Source organism: Homo sapiens, chromosome 5 (genome assembly GCF_000001405.40).
Source record: "Homo sapiens chromosome 5, GRCh38.p14 Primary Assembly".
Lineage (NCBI taxonomy): Eukaryota > Metazoa > Chordata > Mammalia > Primates > Hominidae > Homo > Homo sapiens.
In genome coordinates, this window is record NC_000005.10 from 79,236,028 (window position 1) to 79,254,322 (window position 18,295).

Genomic DNA, 18,295 nt, shown 5'->3' on the forward strand with positions numbered 1-18,295 from the left:
GGCGCCGGCGCGCGCGGGCGGGGTGCGCGCGCCGCCGCCGCCGCGTCACCAGCGTGCGGCACGTGCCCATGTTTACGTCCCTCGTGGAGCCGCCGACGTCAGCAGTCGAATGGCAACATTGTGGCGATGCTGAGGCGCAGAGTTTAGGAGACGGGTTCATCAGTCAGGCCGGCTCCGGGCTTTCTGCAGCAGCACCAGGGGCGGGGGCGGGGATCTTGACCTGGGCGAGCGACCGGGACGCATACAGCGCCGGCCTGACCCCGCGGGACCCGCGCCTCACCACCGGAGCGCCGCAGACGCAGCTCCACGGCCTCGCGCGGGGGGCGGCGGGCGGCCGCGAGGCGCTGCGGCAGCGCGGAGCTTGTAAACAGATCCGGCCGCAGGTGACCATGTGAACTACCTGCTCCCGGGACGCTTATTGTCCTTCTCTCGATCCGCGCCACAAAGGAGCTCGGCGGTCGGGGCGCGGAGGGACAGGCGAACGAGCCGGGAGAGCCGGCCGGCGCACTAAGATGGCTGAAGGCGCCCGGCGAGGGTGAGCGGGGGGCGCGGCGCAGCCAGCGGGGAGTCCTCGGGCGGGCCGGGCCGGCGGCCCTTCCCCGCGGCGAGAAGCCGGAGCCACCATGTCGTTCGCGCTGGAGGAGACGCTCGAGTCGGACTGGGTGGCTGTGCGGCCCCATGTGTTCGACGAGCGCGAGAAACACAAATTCGTCTTTATTGTGGCCTGGAACGAGATTGAGGGCAAGTTTGCCATAACCTGCCACAACCGGACGGCCCAGAGGCAGAGGAGCGGCTCCCGGGAGCAAGCGGGGGCGCGAGGGGGCGCCGAGGCCGGCGGAGCTGCGTCCGACGGGAGCCGCGGGCCCGGCAGCCCGGCGGGCAGGGGTCGGCCCGAGGCCACTGCCTCTGCAACTCTGGTTAGGAGCCCCGGGCCCCGGCGGAGCTCGGCCTGGGCGGAGGGCGGCTCTCCTCGGAGCACTCGCAGCCTTCTGGGGGACCCGCGGCTGCGGAGTCCTGGCAGCAAAGGGGCGGAGAGTCGTCTTAGGAGCCCAGTGCGGGCCAAACCCATCCCGGGTCAGAAAACATCTGAAGCCGACGATGCGGCGGGGGCAGCCGCTGCAGCAGCCCGGCCGGCGCCCAGAGAGGCCCAGGTGTCCTCTGTACGGATAGTGAGCGCCTCTGGGACGGTCTCCGAGGAGATAGAGGTGCTGGAAATGGTGAAGGAGGACGAGGCACCTCTGGCGCTCTCGGACGCGGAGCAGCCGCCGCCCGCCACCGAGCTGGAGTCTCCGGCCGAAGAGTGCAGCTGGGCCGGACTGTTTTCTTTCCAGGACCTGCGCGCCGTGCACCAGCAGCTGTGCTCGGTGAACTCGCAGTTGGAGCCGTGCCTGCCGGTGTTCCCCGAGGAACCTTCGGGCATGTGGACTGTGCTGTTTGGGGGCGCCCCCGAGATGACCGAGCAGGAAATCGACACTCTGTGTTACCAGCTCCAGGTCTACCTGGGCCACGGCCTGGACACCTGCGGCTGGAAGATCCTCTCCCAGGTGCTCTTCACCGAGACCGATGATCCCGAGGAGTATTACGAAAGCCTCAGCGAGCTGCGGCAGAAGGGCTACGAAGAAGTGCTTCAGCGGGCCAGGAAGCGCATCCAGGAGGTGAGTGAGTGAGCTCCTAGTCTGGGCTCTACTGGTCGCTTTTGGTTTACTGGCCAAACCAAAGGCTGGAGCCTCGGTGTCGGGTGTGCGCAGTAGGACGGTTGTTTTTCTGGACAAGCGGAAACCAAGAGGGGTTCCTGATCTACCTTGCCCTTCATCCCTCTCGGTGGCTGCTTAATTGACTCTCTGAAGGACCTTCGTCTTTATTTCCTCCCCCATTTATCAAAAGTAGTAAGTGCGCTCTGTGTACTACTCAGTACTGGTAATGCGCAATTAAAGCCACTAAGAAAAGTGTTCTGTAAGCATGGGCTACCTGAGCATTTTTCTACCCCTAAAGCTCTTCCAGCAATAACTGCCCAGATGTCAACTCTTCTTTGTCCTTGTCACCTTTATTTAAAATAGTTTGTCTTACGGAGCAAAGTTGATCTGTTTTGATTCTTCTTTGTGCAGTGTGGCAACCTACGCAAATTTTAAATTCATTTTTAAACGAGTGACCTAAGTGAAAAAGCACCTAGTGACTATCGGATGCAAATTTATTTTTAAAAGGTTTTTTAGAAGTGTTTTGTTTCTTTTTTTTTGGACTACCTCAGGTCTTTACAGATGGCTCAGGTTTCACTGCTGTTTTAGGTAGAAATAAAGATTCTGGGCAGGAATGTTCGTTGTATTTTTGTACTTACTGTAGAAGTACAAAAGCCTTTTCAAACTAATCCTTAAAATAACAAAAAAAAAGTGGAAGAAAGGGTCTGAATGGATATACATATGGGGCTCTAGAATGTGTAGGAAATGTGTAATTCATGCCTGCTCACTAGCTTCTGCTGAAGGAACTTTACTAAAAAAGTCTTTTAAAATAGACCCAGTTTTCCCTAATGGATACTACTACACGTAGTTTCTCAAAGCAAGTTACTGTTTTTACTATTAATGCAATTGAGATTGGTGGAGAAATGCACCCCCGCCCTCCGCGCCTTCTTTTTTTTTTTTTTTTTTGGAAGCAGTTTTGCTCCGTCTCCCAGGCTGGAGTACAGTGGCACCATCTGGGCTCACTGCAGCCTCCCCCTCCCGGGTTCAAGCGATTCTCCTGCCTCAGACTCCTGAGTAGCTGGGACTACAGGTGCGCGCCACCACGCCCGGCTAACACGTTAGCCCGGCTACTTTTTGTGTTTTTAGTAGAGACGGGGTTTCACCATCTTGGCCAGTATGGTCTCGATCTCCTGACCTCGTGATCCGCCCGCCTCGGCCTCCCAAAGTGCTGGGATTACAGGCGTGAGCCACTGTGCCCGGCCTGAAATGCCCCTTTTAATGGTGTTTATATTCCTAAGATTGTGTTGTTATCTGCTTATGTATATATAATAGTTGAACCTTGTTGTTAGATTAGGGAGCTAGAGCCTCATGTTTTTTTCGTAGAATATTAGATATTTTTCTTTATTAGATTTGAGTATTTAAGAAATGTTTGTTTCTCACTTATACCATAGTACTCTCTTACAACTTCCCGAATCCAGATTTTCACTGCTTCCTGTTGGTTTACTGTATGCTAAATGTCACCCACTATAACATGATCCTAGAGTTCCAGGGATCTGTTTTTATTTCCCTTTTTTATCACCTCACTTCGGGAGTCTACCTTAAATTATTTTGAAGGAAGTGACAAATCTTAAGTGACCACATATATTCTCAGAAGTGTTTGGTTAATATTGACCTGTATTTCTCTTAAACTGCAAGAACCGTTAGTGCTTCTTTCTCTTATTAGATTTACAGATATATTTTTTAAAATACATATTCTTAAAAATCCCTTAATGAATGGGCCTGTCTGATTGTAACTTTTTGGATACTCAGAAAAAGCGACTGTCAGGCCGGTCGCGGTGGCTCATGCCTGTAATCCCAACACTTTGGGAGGCCGAGGCGGGCGGATCACGAGGTCAGGAGATCGAGACCATCCTGGCTAACACGGTGAAACCCCGTCTCTACTAAAAATACAAAAGAAAAAATTAGCCGGGTGTGGTGGCGGGCACCTGTAGTCCTAGCTACTGGGAGGCTGAGGCAGGAGAATGGCGTGAACCCAGGAGGCGTAGCTTGCAATGAGCTGAGATCATGCCAGTGCACTCGAGCCTGGGCGACAGAGCGAGACTCCGTCTCAAAAAAAAAAAAGAAAAGAAAAAGAAAAAGAGAAAAAGCGACTATCTCCGGTTTTTTAATTCAAATGGGTCAAAAATAAGCTCTCAAAAAATATAATTTTCTAGAACTCTTTAAAAAGGGGATTACATTTTTTAAAAAATGTGTTCCTAATTAAGGTTCTCTTGACCATAATGATTTATTTTCTTTAACAGAAAATTATACTTTTTTTCTTTCTTTTTTTTTTTGAGATGGAGTCTCGCTCTGTCGCCCAGGCTGAAGTGTAGTGGCGCGATCTTGGCTCACTGCAACCTCTGCCTCCCGGGTTCCAGTGATTCTCCTCCCTCAGCCTCCTGAGTAGCTGGGATTATAGGCGTGTGCCACCTTGTCCGGCTAATTTTTGTATTTTTAGTAGAGATGGGGTTTTACCATGTTGGCCAAGCTGGTCTCGAACTCCTGACCTGGTGATCCGCCTGCCTCAGCTTCCCAAAGTGCTAGAATTACAGGCGTGAGCCACCGCACCCAGCCTCCCCCCGCCCCCTCCAAACAGAGTTTTGCACTATTGCCCAGGCTGGACTGTACTGGTGCAATCTCAGCTCACTGCAACCTCCACCTCCCGGGTTCAAGCAGTTCTCCTTGCTCAGCCTCCCAAGTAGCTGTGATTACAGTCGCCGCTACCATGCCTGGCTAATTTTTGTATTTTTGTAGTGACAGGGTTTCCCAGTGTTGGCCAGGCTGGTCTTGAACTCCTGACCTCAGGTGATCTAACTGCCTCGGCCTCCCAAAGTGCTAGGATTACAGGCGTGAACCACTGCACCCGGCAACTTCAATATTTGAAAAATAGCCATCAAGGACAACAAATAGTTTCAGTAATAATGCCTATCTTGACTTCTGCTGGAAGATTGTGTCTTTAGATTATATTGGGGGAGGGAGGGAAGTGTGGTGTGATTGATTGGTGATGTCTGCCATGGGCATGATAATGAAAGTGTATAGGATGCTAGCCATGTATTTGTCTTAAGCTAATTAAATTTAACTTTGCTTTCTTAATAGTTTGCAGTAACATTTTTTAAGGTAACATTTTTATAGAAGTTGTGCCATGTTTGTGTTATTCTATTGACTTAGTTTGTGGAATTGGCTATAGCTTTTCAAGCTAGGTTTATCTGATAAATCAAATGCATTCTTGAGGATATGTTACTTTTGAGGATATGTTAGAATGCTTAGTCCTTTGGTCACTTACAATACTTAGTCCTTTTCCTTCTTTAATTTCTATGAATCTATTTTTTGGTCTTTTTTCCTACAGTATTCCTTTCCCTGTCCATTTAAAGGTTTCAACTTAAAATCACCTGTTTTTGTTCAAAATGGTTAGTAAGTTGTTGAACTTTTTTTTGTTTGTTTTTAATAGAACAGACTGTACAACTAGATTGTAAGCTTTTCAAGGTCCTTGGCTTTGACAATACCTTGGAACTCTCTTCTTTGCCACCCCTAGTTCAGGACCACACATCTTGTGAGCACTCTTAATTAGTGGATAAAGGAAACTAGAGAAGTTTTTAAAATTAATTTATTCTTACTATTGCAAGAATTTAAAGGACTTAGAAGATGTGTCCTTTTAATGTGAAGTTGTAAGTAAAATTTTTATAAATTGATAAGTGTAAATTCCTCAAAGGACAGTGTTTTTAAAACGAGAAATTTTCTTTTAGTACTTCAAAGGAAAATTTCTTAAAACATAAATAAATTCCTCAGTAAGAGGTTTTTACTTGGGGATGGTGAATTCCCTGTAAGAGGGGCTATGGATGGATTTTAATGGGGCGTCCTGCCGAGTTTTATATCTGTGGGCATGTGTGCATTTTAGAGAGAAAGGCAATAATGTGAGTCACAGGAATGTTTTGGTTTCACAGTGCGTTTAAAAGTTATGTTTATGCTATAATGTACATTATACTTCTTAGGGGCTAAATCCAAGTGAAAGGTGAAATTTGTTACTGGTATGTTTGAATTTGGACTTTTACAAGAGTTTACTATTGGAAGCAGTATTTATACAGTAGACACTGAATCAGTCCTTAAATGAATGCAGGTGCCACCAAGACCTCTTTGAACAGTTTTCAGCAGTAGCCTTGGTTGTTGGTCAGAGCTGAGGTTTGTATTAGTGTATGTGCGTTGGTGGCCCATACTGCAGCTTAGGTTTGACCTGGATTTTATAAATAATGGTTTCTGTATAAGGACAGCTATTCTCAAGATGATTAACTGTGGTGCTTTAGATAGTAAACCTTAATTATGATGGTAGGCTTGATTAAGATCTAATCATCAGTGTTCATTTTGGAATTTATTATGTTTATAAAGATGTGCTCAATTCTAACTTCTCTTCTGTTGAAACCACGGTTTGGAAGTAGCATGTGTTTTCAAAATTATCCGTGTAAGCCACATAATAAATAGCCTGTTGAGTGAGTGGAGTCAGAAACACCTAGGTTGAAAATAGGACTAACCACTTCTGATGACCTGCTTAGTTATTTAACCTCTTTTAAAAAGGAAGGTGGGGGAAATAAAGGATGTCTTAAGATTTGAGTAAGACAGTATGAGAAAGGGCCTAACAAAGTGCCTGGCACTTACTAAAGAGGCTTCCAGGAAGTGTTATTTTCCCTTTTTTCATGTAACAAGGATTATCTGGTTTTCCATTCAGCCCTTTTTGTGGGGACTGTAACTAATATTTATTATTCACTATCTGCTGAGATCAGTGGGTGTTTTATACCTATTTTACTGAGGCAGAAAATGAGACTTAAAGAGGTCCTGTGGACTTCACCAAGGCTAAACAGCTGAGTAACCAAGCTCCGATGAAAGCCTAGATTTGTCTTAATCCAAACGTGTGCCTTTTCTGCCATGCCTGTGGCCTGTTGGGGTTCTTAATCCAAGGGACTGTATTCCTTCCTTAAAGAGAAAGGATGTCAATCTCTACTCTTGAGAATTGGGGAGTGGTATTATTTTAAAATGCAGTCAGTTCAATAATGACTTTTTTTTTTTTTTTTTAAAGACAGTGTCTCACTCTGTTGCCCAGGCTGGAGTACAATGGCAGTATCTCAGCTCACTGCAACCTCTGCCTTCCAAGTTCACGCAATTCTTTTGCTTCAGCCTCCCAAGTAGCTGGGATTACACGTGCATGCAAACACTCAATAACTGCTTTTGATTTAGGATAACTCATTTCGAATTAATTATGACAAGCATGAGGTAGGGCAGTCTGAATGTGATGTTTTAGAGAAAGGTGTTGCCTAGTGGTGCAAGGATAGGTTTATGTTAGAGAAGAGTGCCCAATTGTGGGGAAGTTTTTTGTTTGTTTTGTTTTTGTATCTTAATGGCTAAGCTGGAAAACAGCTCCTGACTTCTGAGGTTATTTAACTGAAGGGGCAAGGGGCAAGGAGCTCTAGGAGGAAGTTTTGTTTAACAGGTGTCCTCCCAAGGATACCTTTGGGTCCTTAGAAAATAACTTTTCTAATTTTCTTGAAAACCTAAGATTAGTTTTAAAACTCAAGCCCTGCTGAAACCCCAACTATATACATTAGAGAAATGACAGTACTTTAGGAGTCTTGGGACGCCACCTGTCTTTCACTGGGCCAGCAAGCCATGACCCATGATTACATATAAATAAATGGTGGAAGCAGGCTGCTATTTATAGGGAAGGATATAATATGATTCCAATGAAGAGAGCTGCTCTGTCTGGCAGTTCTTGACTGCATTGACTGGAAGTATTGAAAAATAGGATATTACATGTTGAGGACATATGGGAGCTGTAGACTTTCAAGACAGAAGATATGTCAACATTGTAGCTTGATGCCTTGTCTAACCATGTTATACTCCCATGAAAATATTGCAAACTGCTCTTTTACTGTAAAATACAGTTAAAGAATAATGAAACTAAGTGAATTTGTGGGATTCTTAAAGTATTGATGAAAGACTTGAAAGTTGGAAACATTTACAATATTTTGATGCTAATCATTTTCTTCAATCCTGTACCCAAATGTACTTTTAGACAGTTTTTTGCATCACTGAAAAAGATGTAAGTATAGAAAAATGGATATATGCTTCTAGTTTAGGGCTTCTATAAAACAAAAACATGGAGACTGGTAGCAGGATGTCACCCTTCTTGGTAATTAATTTGTGTAATGGTTTCTCTGCTTGCCACTTAACATCACAAGATGCCCAGTCCACCAGAGATTTCTTTCTTTTTTCTTTTTTTCCTTTTTTTTTTTTTTGAGACAGGCTTGCTCTGTCACCCAGGCTGGAGTGCAGTGGTGTGATCTCGGCTCACTGCAGCCTCCACTGCCCGGCTTCTAGCGATTCTCCTGCCTCAGCCTCCTGAGTAACTGGGATTACAAGCATGTGCCACCACACCCAGCTAACTTTTGTATTTTTAGTAGAGATGGGGTTTCACCATGTTGGCCAGGCTGGTCTCGAACTCCTGACCTCAGGTGATCCACCTGCTTCGGCCTCCCACAGTGCTGGGATTACAAGCATGAGCCACCACGCCTGGCCCAGATACTTCATAGACATGAAGTCTGGGGATGTTTCCTCCTTGCTAAAATGAGGTTAACTTAGACAACACTTCAGTGATATTATTATAAGGGAGTGTGTATGTGTGTCTGAGAGAGATGGGGAGAGAAGGGAGAAGATGGGTGGGAAAATTGGTTTGTCAAACATAGCAGCTGCTGTATTTGAATTAGCCATCTTATCTTTGCAAATTCTCACATGTAATTTTAATCGATCTGTTAACCTTCTCCATTGCTGCTTCATTTGACGTTTCATTAACTGTAAAATATTTTTGACAGTAGGTCTTGAAAGCACAAGATGAGCCCTCTGTTGCTCCATTGATGGTTAAATGTATGTGTGCCTATTTTTTTTTTTTTTGGTAACGAGAAGTTTCCTGTGGCTCTTTTCACTCTCTAAAAGGCCAGGACCTGCTTCCTCTGAATCTGCCTGATTCACTCAGTTGTTGGTAGGAGAAATTAAGTTCCAAGTGTAAGAGACATAGGCACTGAAAACTAAATAATAGTTCTTGTAACTATTTGTTTTTTTTTTTTTTGGTAGAGATAGTGAAGTTCATTTGGTTTTTCAGGCTTCTTTTAGGGGACTTGATAATACCAAGTAGCCTTAACACAGCATATCTAAGTTATTAAACTGCATAGGGGCAGAGAAGAATTTATCCAGCAAAAGGCCAGAAAATTTGGAGTTGTTTTCCTAAATGTGGGGGATTGTCCTTTATGTTTGTCCTTGAATTTTAAATTAAATATAATTACAATTCTATATAGTAGACTCTTTTTCAGACTGTAGCAAAGGTTCTATAAAATGGGCTGTGAAATAATGGGGCTGATGGGTTAGACATTTCACAGAGGAGGATTTTTAAGGATAAATGTATGAAGTTACTTTAATGATTCGGAATTTTATTTGTAACTTTCAGGTTTGAGGGTAGTGGCTAGGGTCTTAGTTTATTCAACAAATAGTAGTATAGGCACTGGGAAAATGCAGTGATGAACACTGTTTCTTTGGGAAGAAATTTTAAATAAAATTGGTCATGAAGTCATCCTGGTGCTTGGAGGTAGTTGAAGCAGGGTGCTTTTTCAGAAGCATCCCACTACACTGTCTTGAGTGCTTCATGGAAAAAAAAAAATTAAATGGATATGGCTCGGGAAAAATCTGTATTTTTGTCCTGATTGTAATATGAGTTGTTTGACCTTAGGCTGTTGACTAGCCTTTTTGGGCCTTAGTTTTTAGTTTATAAAGTGAGGTAAGTATGGCCTCTTTTTAAAGGACCCACAGCAGTTGATAGGCACAGTGTGGCAAGGGTTGGGACCTGAGCAACTTGGTTTTTTTCTTTTTTTGAGATGAGGCCTCACTCTGTCGCCCAGACTGGAGTGCAGTGGCATGACTTTGGCTCACTGCAACCTCCGCCTCCCAGGTTCAAATGATTATTCTGCCTCAGTCTCCTGGGTAGCTGGGATTACAGGCATCTGCCACCATACCCAGCTAATTTTTGTATTTTTAATAGAGACGGGTTTTCACTGTGTTGGCCAGGCTGGTCTTGAACTCCTAAACTCAGGTATCCATCTGCCTCAGCCTCCCAAAGTTCTGGGATTACAGGTGTGAGCCACTGCACCCAGCCTGTATTCAGGTTTCCATCTCCTTGCAGTAAGATGACTGTTGAAATCGCAGCACTTTTAATATTGCTAGTGTTTTTAGGCTTTGAGAAAGCCTAAATTCACTTTGAAGTACAAAGGGCATTTGAATATGGCAGTAGTGTTTCATTTTGTGTGTGTTTATCCTTACATCCTTAAATCATTCATTACTTATACTTCAAATTTTCTGTTCTTTTTTCACTTCTCCCTGTGGTTTTTAGTATTAAAACTGCTTTTCCGATCAGTTTTTGATAACTGAAAGTTATACTTGCAAAGTGAATGCTTACTTATTAAAATTATTTCTCTAGGCCTATCTTTCTCCTTGCCGTCCTATCTAGATGAGTTTCTATCCACACCTATGGGGCCATAACTGGAGTGTGTATAAGGATGTATATAACAAGTTTTCAATAACTGCAATAGTTAGTTAACCTTTATTGAATGCTTACTGTAGGCCAAGCACTTTACAAAGATCTTTGTGTACATTATCTCAGTTCACACGTAGATTAGACAGTAAGAGGTAGGATGCAAGTGAGTTTGAGACCTGACTTCTCCTTGTTAATATCTGTGATTTTGGGCAAGTTACCTGATGCAGTGCCTTAGCTTCTTCATCTGTAGAGAGATTAATACTGCTGCCTCATAGAGTGATTTAAAAATAGGTATGTTGGCCGGGCACAGTATCTCACGCCTGTAATCCCAGCACTTTGGGAGGCCGAGGCAGGCGGATCATGAGGTCAAGAGTTTGAGACTAGCCTGGCCAACATGGTAAAACCCTGTCTCTACTAAAAATGCGAAAATTAGCTGGGTGTGGTGTTGGACACCTGTAATCCCAGCTAACTTGGGAGGCTGAGGCAGGAGAATCACTTGAACCTGGGAGGTAGAGGTTGCAGTGAGCCAAGATTGCGGCACTGCACTCTAGCCTGGGCGACAGAGCAAGACACCATCTCAAAAAAAAAAAAGTATGCTATAAAGCACTCAGAACAGTGCCTGGCATCTAGTAAACACTTGATAAATCTAAACTTTGATTAATATTTGTATCTACCTAAGAGATAAGGATTTTGCAGCAGAGGTAGAGAATTGGTAAATTTGCCTACATAACGTATCTATTGTATGAAAGAACCGGATTCAAATCCAAGCCTGCCTTGTTAACCACTGGACTGTCTGCATCCCTGTAGAAAGAGAGTGAGGATAAGTGATAAATTTAAATGTTGTCCAATTGAAATATATGTTCAGTGTCTCAACAGTGGACAAAAGCAATAGTGCTTAGCTGATGATATTTTTGGAAAATCTTAATTATATACATATACTGTAATTACCTTTTTTTGTTTGGGATTAGAGAATGATGCAATCCAAAGGAGGCTACTTTATTTTTCCTTTTTATTTTTTGAGATGGAGTCTCACTCTGTCACCCAGGCTGGAGTGTGGTGGCGTGATCTCGGTTCACTGCAACCTCCACCTCTCGGGTTCAAGTGATTCTCCCACTTCAACCTTGTAGTCTCAAGTAGTTGGGACTACAGGCAGGTGCCACCACACCTGGCTAATTTTTTGTATTTTTTAGTTGTTGTTGAAACAGGGTTTCACCATGTTGCCCATGCGGGTCTCAGTCTCCTGAGCTCAAGCCATCTGCCTGCCTCAGTCTCCTAAAGTATTGGGATTATAAACGTGAGCCACCTTGCCCGGCCCCTGCTATCACTTCTATTTCCTTTTTATTTTGTTTATTTATTTATTTATTTTTTGAGGCGGAGTCTTGCTCTGTTGCCCAGGATGGAGTATAGTGGCACAATCTCTGCTCACTGCAACTTCCACCTCCCAGGTTCAAGCAATTCTCCTGCCTCAGCCTCCCAAGTAGCTGGGATTACAGGCACCCGCCACCATGCCTGGGTAACTTTTGTATTTTTGTATTTTATTTTATTTTATTTTATTTTTTATATTTTATTTTATTTTATTTTATATTTTATTTTATTTTATTTTATTTTGAGACAGAGTCTCGTTCTGCTGCTCAGGCTGGAGTGCAGTGGCAGAATCTTGGCTCACTGCAACCTCCACCTCCCAGGTTCAGGTGTTTCTTCTGCCTCTGCCTCCTGAGTAGCTGGGACTACAGGTACACACCACCACACCTGGCTAATTTTTGTATTTTTAGTAGAGATGGGGTTTCACCATATTGGCCTGGCTGGTCTCAAACTCCTGACCTCATGATCCGCCCACCTCGGCCTCCCAAAGTGCTGGGATTACAGGCGTGAGCCACCGCATCTGGCCTTTTAACTTTTGTATTTTTAGTAGAGACGGGATTTCACCAAGTTGGCCAGGCTGGTCTCGAACTCCTGGCCTTATTTCCATTTTAAATAGTCCATAACATTGAATTTAGTCTTGTACTTTCCTCCCTTTTTTTTGAGACAGAGTCTCCCTCTGTCACCCAGGCTGGAGTGCAGTGGCACGATCTCGGCTCACTGCAGCCTCTGCCTCCCAGGTGCAAGCAATTCTCCTGCCTCAGCCTCCCAAGTAGCTGGGGTTACAGGTGCGTGCTACCACACCCAGCTAAGTTTTTTGTATTTTTAGTAGAGATGGGGTTTCACCATGTTGGCCAGGCTGATCTCAAACTCCTGACCTCAGGTGATCCACCCGCCTCAGCCTCCCAAAGTGCTGGGATTATAAGCTTGAGCCACCGCGCCGGCCTCCTTCTTATAATTATAGTAAATAATTACCTCACCTCAGTCCCATATAGAAAAAAAAAAAAGTTTCTTACTAACAATTTTTCTGACTAGTCCAGAAGGGAGGACAGTTAAGGATGTTAATTTCTTACTTTATTTTCAGTTTAGAAATCCTACATCTGTATGTTTAAGAGAGGGTCTTGTTCTGTCAGCGCAGGCTGGAATGCAGTGGTGCCGTCATGGCTCACTGTATGTAGCCTTGATCTCCTGGGCTCTAGTGATCCTCCCGCCTCAGTCTCTGGAGTAGCTGGAACTACAGGTGTGTACCACCACGTCTGGCTGACTTTTTAATTTTTATTTTGTAGAGAAGAGGTCTCACTGTGTCACCTAGGCTGGTCTCAAACTCCTGAGTTCAACTTATCCTCCCGCCTTGCCCTCCCAAAGTTCTGAGACTGCAGACATGAGCCACTGTGCCTGCCCTTTTTTTTCCCTCTTGTTAGGTGATGTGAATTTTGGTAGTGGGGTTGCTAATGAAAAGTTTATGAAAAGTAGGGTTAAAGAAATGAAGGACTAAGAAAAACGGTGTGAATTAACTTCATTATTGTTATTTTGTGTTTTTAGTAGAAATGGAGTTTTGCCATATTGGCCAGGCTGGTCTCAAACTCCTGAGCTCAAGCAGTCCTCCTGCATTGGCCTCCCAAAGTGCTGGGATTACAGGTGTGAGCCACCGTGCCTGCCCTTGTGAATTAATTTTAGAGTAGCAGTATTTACACTTGAAAATTTCATGGGAATGAATAACATTAGTTTACCAAAAGGAAATGATATGCCAGCTCATAGTGAAGCTGCCTAGATGCTTGCTTTTGTAAACAGTATGTTATCAAGTCACTGGCTCCCTGTATAGCCTTGGAGTTGGCTCTTGAGCAGGTTTTACTCTGCATTGAGCCTTATGAGACCCATAACTTGAAGTAAGACTGTTCTATTTCTTGGTAGAAATTATCTTAAAGGAGATGAATGGAGGAACAGGTATTTATCTGAAGTATCAGCATGTTTTTGGGTTTAAAAATTGAAAACTGGAAGGAATTTCAAAATTGAGTAATGTTTTTCTCTTTTCATTTTGTCTAACTGCACCATTCCCCAGTTACTCTATTCAAGTTTTCCTTTTGTATTAAATTTCATCGTATTTTCAGTCTCCCTTGACTCAAGATTGGGATCTTTCCCTTAAGGAAAGATGAATTGACTGGCCTTGAGTAGAGGCCATGTGGGGCAGTGGTTCCAGAGTTTGAGTTAGGCTACAGGGGTTCATACCTCACTTCTACTTTCCACTAGCTTAACTCTTGGTAGTAACTGAGCTTTCTGCCCGTGGTTCTTCATCTCTAAAATGGCATAATAACTATATACCTACATCATAAGATTGTTAGGAAGAATGAAAGAATGTACGTGAAGTGCCTAGCGTGGTATCTAATATAGAAACCGTCATAAATGTCAGCTGCTATTGTGATACTTTCTCATCTACTTTTTCCTGAAGCAACTCATACTGATGCTGGGTTCCTCCTAAACCCAAACTTGTTTGTACTAAAAACCGTGTTTGTAATGGAAGCTGGTGCTGTACAGGTAAAATATTTCCAAGCCAAAACAATGTCAAAACAACAAGAAAAATCTAACGGGTTGATCTTCAGCCTCCTGTACCCTCCATAGGAACTCCTAGTACGTGCTTTCCCAAGTCCCTTGTTGCTGCTTCGTGTATACATTATTATATTCGTTGACATCACAGGACAGGTGGTCCTTTTGATACAGTCAGTTAAAACGGTGATTCTAGTATTTTTTCTTGTCAATTTTATTGATAGCTCTTCTCCATTTTTTTCTGTATTTACCTTTACTTTGTTTGTAGGCGTCCCAGACAACCCTGATCACAATTGATTTGCAAATATTCCAGTTGAAATAACTATTAAAGAAATGGTAAGCATTAACCTCTGGAAGCCCTTAAAAATACCTTTAAATCTCCTTCAACAATTGTTTATTTAATAAATAGATCTTGTGTTAGGTATTTTTTAATTTTTAATTATTTTTCTTTTTTTTTTTTTTTTTTGGCATATGAAGTAAGAGCTATCCAGGTGCTTTTAACAGCCTCTCACACTTCACTAGAAATTTTACCCCACTATTAATTCTTTCTAATTATACCTACTTTTTTTTTAATGTTGGCATTTCTGATTAGTATTTTCATACTTACTCTAGCAAGATGTTGTATTTTAATATCTTTCATTGCACTTTTACATGTTTACTGTGGTTTGGGGTAGCTTTGCAAAGTCTAACCATAACTTAAAATATTGTCTATGGTAAAAAACAAAGTTAAATGTGCCTTTAGGGTACAATATATTTAATAATTGAGAACTGCCTATAATTCTTCACTTTTATTTCATTAGTGTGATTTTCAAAGGATCCAGATTTATATTTCTTAAGAAGAGTATGTAGGTATTTGTATATGCTGATTTTTTTAACAAGCCAATTTATTTGACTGTGGAGGGTGGGGAGAAAGATTGGAAAAAAGTCAAGTTATTTGAAAATGCCCATTCCTGTTTGGTTGGGAAGGAGGGAAAAATGAATGTGATTTAAGATAGCTGGGCATATCTGTAGTTATTTCTTTATTATAAATATATTTTATTATACTTTGAGACAGAATATCCCTCCATCACCCAGGCTGGAGTACAGTGGCACAATCATGGCTCATTGCAGCCTCAACCTCCTAGGCTCAAGTGATCCTCCCATCTCAGGCTCCTGAGTTACTGGGACTACAGCCATGCGCCACCATGCCCAGCTAATTTTTAACTTAATTTTGGGGGGTACATAGTAGGTGTATATATTTATGGAATACATAAGATGTTTTGATACAGATATGTAATGCATAATAATCAAATCATGAAACATAGGGAATCCGTCCCCTCAAGCATTTGTCCTTTGTTTTGCAAACAATCCAATTACACTATTAAATTATTATTGACTGTTGTCACCCAGTTATGCTATCAAATACCGGGTCTCATTCATTCTATTTTTTTTTTTTTTACCCATTAGCCGCCCCCACCTCCCCCTCAACTTCCTTCCTACCCTTCCCACACTCTGGTAACCATCATTCTACTCTCTATTTCAATTGTCTATTTCAATGAGTTCAATTGTTGTGATTTTTATTTTTTTATTTTTATTTATTTATTTATTTTTTGAGACAGTTTCACTCTTGTTGCCCAGGCTGGAGTGCAATGGCAAGATATCAGCTCACTGGAACCTCTGCCTCCTGGATTCAAGCGATTCTTCTGCCTCAGCCTCCCGAGTAGCTGGGATTACAGGCATGTGCCACCACGCCCGGCTAATTTTTTGTATTTTTAGTAGAGATGGGGTTTCTCCATGTTGGTCAGGCTGTTCTTGAACTCCCGACCTCAGGTGATCTGCCTGCCTCGGCCTCTCAAAGTGCTGGGATTACAGGCATGAGCCACCATGCCCAGCCTTTTCTTCTTTTTGATATAGGCACTTATAGCTATAAGTTTCCCTCTTGGTACTGCTTTTGCTGTATCCCATAGGTTTTGGTATGTTGTGTTTCCATTATGATTTGTTTTAATAAATTTTCCTTCTTAATTTCTTCATTGACCTACTGGTCATTCAGGAGCATATTGTTTAATTTCCATGTATTTGTATAGTTTCCATAATTCCTCTTGTTAGTGATTTCTAGTTTATCTCATTTTGGTCAGAGAAAATGCTTGATAGTCAGGTTTTTTTTTTTTTTTTTAATGTTTTAAGGCTTGCTTTGTGACATAACATGGCCTATCCTTGAGAGTGATAGATATGCTAAGGAAAAGAACATGTATTCTGTATCTGTTGGATGAAATGTTCTGTAAGTTTTTGTTAGGTCTGTTTGACCTATGATGCAAATTAAGTCCAGTGTTTCTTTGTTGATTTTCTGTCTGGAAGATCTGTCCTGCGCTGAAAGTGGGATGTTGAAGTCTCCAGGTATTACTGTATTGAGGCCTCTCTCTCTTTAGCTCTAATATTTGCTTTATATGTCTGGGTGCTCCAGTGTTAGGTGCATATATATTTAAAATTGCTATACCCTCTTGCTAAATTGACCCCTTTATCACTATATAATGACCTTCTTTGTCTCTAGTTGTTGTCTTGAAATCTATTTTGTCTAAGTATAGCTATTCCTGCTTTGTTTCCATTGACATGGAATAACTTTTTCATGTATGTCTTCATAGGTGAATGTGTTTCTTGTAGGTAACAGATCATTGGGTCTTGTTTTTTAATCCATTCAGTCCATCTGTGTCTAACAATTGGAGAGTTTAGTCCATTTGCATTCAGTGTTATTGATAAGTACCTTATTCCTGCCATTTTGTTGTTTTCTGTTTGTTTTGTGGTCTCCTCTCTCTTTCTTCATGTCTTTTATTGAAGGTGATTTTTTCTGGTGATACTATTTAATTTCTTGATCTTTTTCTTTTTGCGAATCCATTGTATGTTTTTTATGTTTTTTGGTTTGAGGTTACCATGAAGCTTGCAAATACTATCTCATGACCCAGTATTTTAAGCTGATAACAACTTACCACTAATAAAGACTCTAATCTTAACTTTGTCTCCCCACTTTTTAACTTTTTGTTGTTTCTTTTGTTGTTGTTGTTGTTTCTATATATCTTATTGTAAGTTGTCTAACCGTTATTTTTGATTGGTTCATCATTTAATCTTTTTTTTTTGGAGATGGAGTCTCGCTCTGTCGCCCAGGCTGGAGTGCAGTGGCGCAATCTCGGGTCACTACAACCTCCGCCTCCTGGGTTCAAGCGATTCTTCTGCCTCAGCCTCCTGAGTAGTTGGGATTACAGGCATCCGCCACCAAGCCCAGCTGGTTTTTTGTGTTTTTAGTAGAGATGGGGTTTCACCGTGTTAGCCAGGATAGTCTTGATCTCCTGACCTCATGATCTGCCCACCGCAGCCTCCCAAAGTGCTGGGATTATAGGCGTGAGCCACCGCCCAGCCTGGTTCATCATTTAATCTTTCTAAGATAAGAGTAGCTTACACACCACAGTTACAGTGTTATAATCTGTTTTTCTGTTTACTTACTATTATCAGTGAGTTTTGTACTTTCAGATGATTTTTCTTTTTTGAGACAGGGTCTCACTCTGTCTAGGCTGGAGTACAGTGGCATGCAGTGGAGTGCAGGCTCAAGCAGTGCCCCCATCTCAACCTCCCTAGTAGCTGGGGCCACAAGTGTATGCCACCACTCTTTATTTTTTTGTAGAAATGGGGTTTTGCCATGTTGCCCAGGCTGGTCTCGAAATACTGGGCTCAAGTGATCCACCCATCCTGTCCCCTGAAAGTGCTGGTAGATGACTTTTTTTTTTTTTTTTTTTTAAAGACAGAGTCTTGCTCTGTCACACAGGCTACAGTGCAGTGGCTTGATCTTGGCTCACTGCAACCTCCTCCTCCCAGGTTCAAATGATGCTCCTGCCTCAGCCTCCTGAGTAGCTGGATTACAGGTGCCCACCACCACGCCCAGCTATTTTTTTTTTTTTTGTATTTTTAGTAGAGACGGGGTTTCGCGATGTTGGGAAGGCTTGTCTCAAACTCCTGACCTCGTTCGTGATCTGCCCGCCTCAGCCTTCCAAAGTGCTGGGATTACAGGCATGAGCCATCACGCCCCAGCTTGGTAGATGACTTTTTTATTGCTCATTAATGTCCTTTTCTTTCTGATTGAAGTACTCCCTTTAGC

The 18,295-nt window shown here is 42.8% G+C and overlaps 1 protein-coding gene across 1 annotated transcript in view, besides 8 other annotated features; it reads left to right on the plus strand.

Annotated features, from left to right (window-relative positions):
* Window positions 6-55: a silencer, noted in NCBI's record as "silent region_16128". NCBI's record gives its function as "represses an Ori minimal core promoter by ATAC-STARR-seq in GM12878 lymphoblastoid cells {active_cell/tissue: GM12878}" and the evidence as "EXISTENCE:reporter gene assay evidence [ECO:0000049][PMID:35858748]".
* Window positions 96-145: a silencer, noted in NCBI's record as "silent region_16129". NCBI's record gives its function as "represses an Ori minimal core promoter by ATAC-STARR-seq in GM12878 lymphoblastoid cells {active_cell/tissue: GM12878}" and the evidence as "EXISTENCE:reporter gene assay evidence [ECO:0000049][PMID:35858748]".
* JMY (junction mediating and regulatory protein, p53 cofactor) overlaps window positions 104-18,295 on the plus strand; it is a 91,081-nt gene continuing 72,889 nt past the window's right edge. The window contains exon 1 of the mRNA NM_152405.5: window positions 104-1,655. Coding sequence (NP_689618.4) covers window positions 624-1,655 — 1,032 coding nt within the window. The 5' untranslated portion in view covers window positions 104-623. The remainder of the gene's footprint in view (window positions 1,656-18,295) is intronic.
* Window positions 176-615: a silencer, noted in NCBI's record as "silent region_16130". NCBI's record gives its function as "represses an Ori minimal core promoter by ATAC-STARR-seq in GM12878 lymphoblastoid cells {active_cell/tissue: GM12878}" and the evidence as "EXISTENCE:reporter gene assay evidence [ECO:0000049][PMID:35858748]".
* Window positions 176-1,194: a biological region, named in NCBI's record as "H3K27ac hESC enhancer GRCh37_chr5:78532408-78533044".
* Window positions 558-1,194: an enhancer, noted in NCBI's record as "H3K27ac hESC enhancer chr5:78532408-78533044 (GRCh37/hg19 assembly coordinates)". NCBI's record gives its function as "activates a minimal SCP1, AML or CMV promoter by ChIP-STARR-seq in primed H9 embryonic stem cells {active_cell/tissue: H9 hESC(primed)}" and the evidence as "EXISTENCE:reporter gene assay evidence [ECO:0000049][PMID:30033119]".
* Window positions 786-1,055: a silencer, noted in NCBI's record as "silent region_16131". NCBI's record gives its function as "represses an Ori minimal core promoter by ATAC-STARR-seq in GM12878 lymphoblastoid cells {active_cell/tissue: GM12878}" and the evidence as "EXISTENCE:reporter gene assay evidence [ECO:0000049][PMID:35858748]".
* Window positions 1,246-1,665: an enhancer, noted in NCBI's record as "active region_22722". NCBI's record gives its function as "activates an Ori minimal core promoter by ATAC-STARR-seq in GM12878 lymphoblastoid cells {active_cell/tissue: GM12878}" and the evidence as "EXISTENCE:reporter gene assay evidence [ECO:0000049][PMID:35858748]".
* Window positions 1,339-1,633: a silencer, noted in NCBI's record as "tiled region #9907; K562 Repressive DNase unmatched - State 1:Tss". NCBI's record gives its function as "represses a minimal TATA promoter and a strong SV40 promoter by Sharpr-MPRA in K562 cells {active_cell/tissue: K562}" and the evidence as "EXISTENCE:reporter gene assay evidence [ECO:0000049][PMID:27701403]".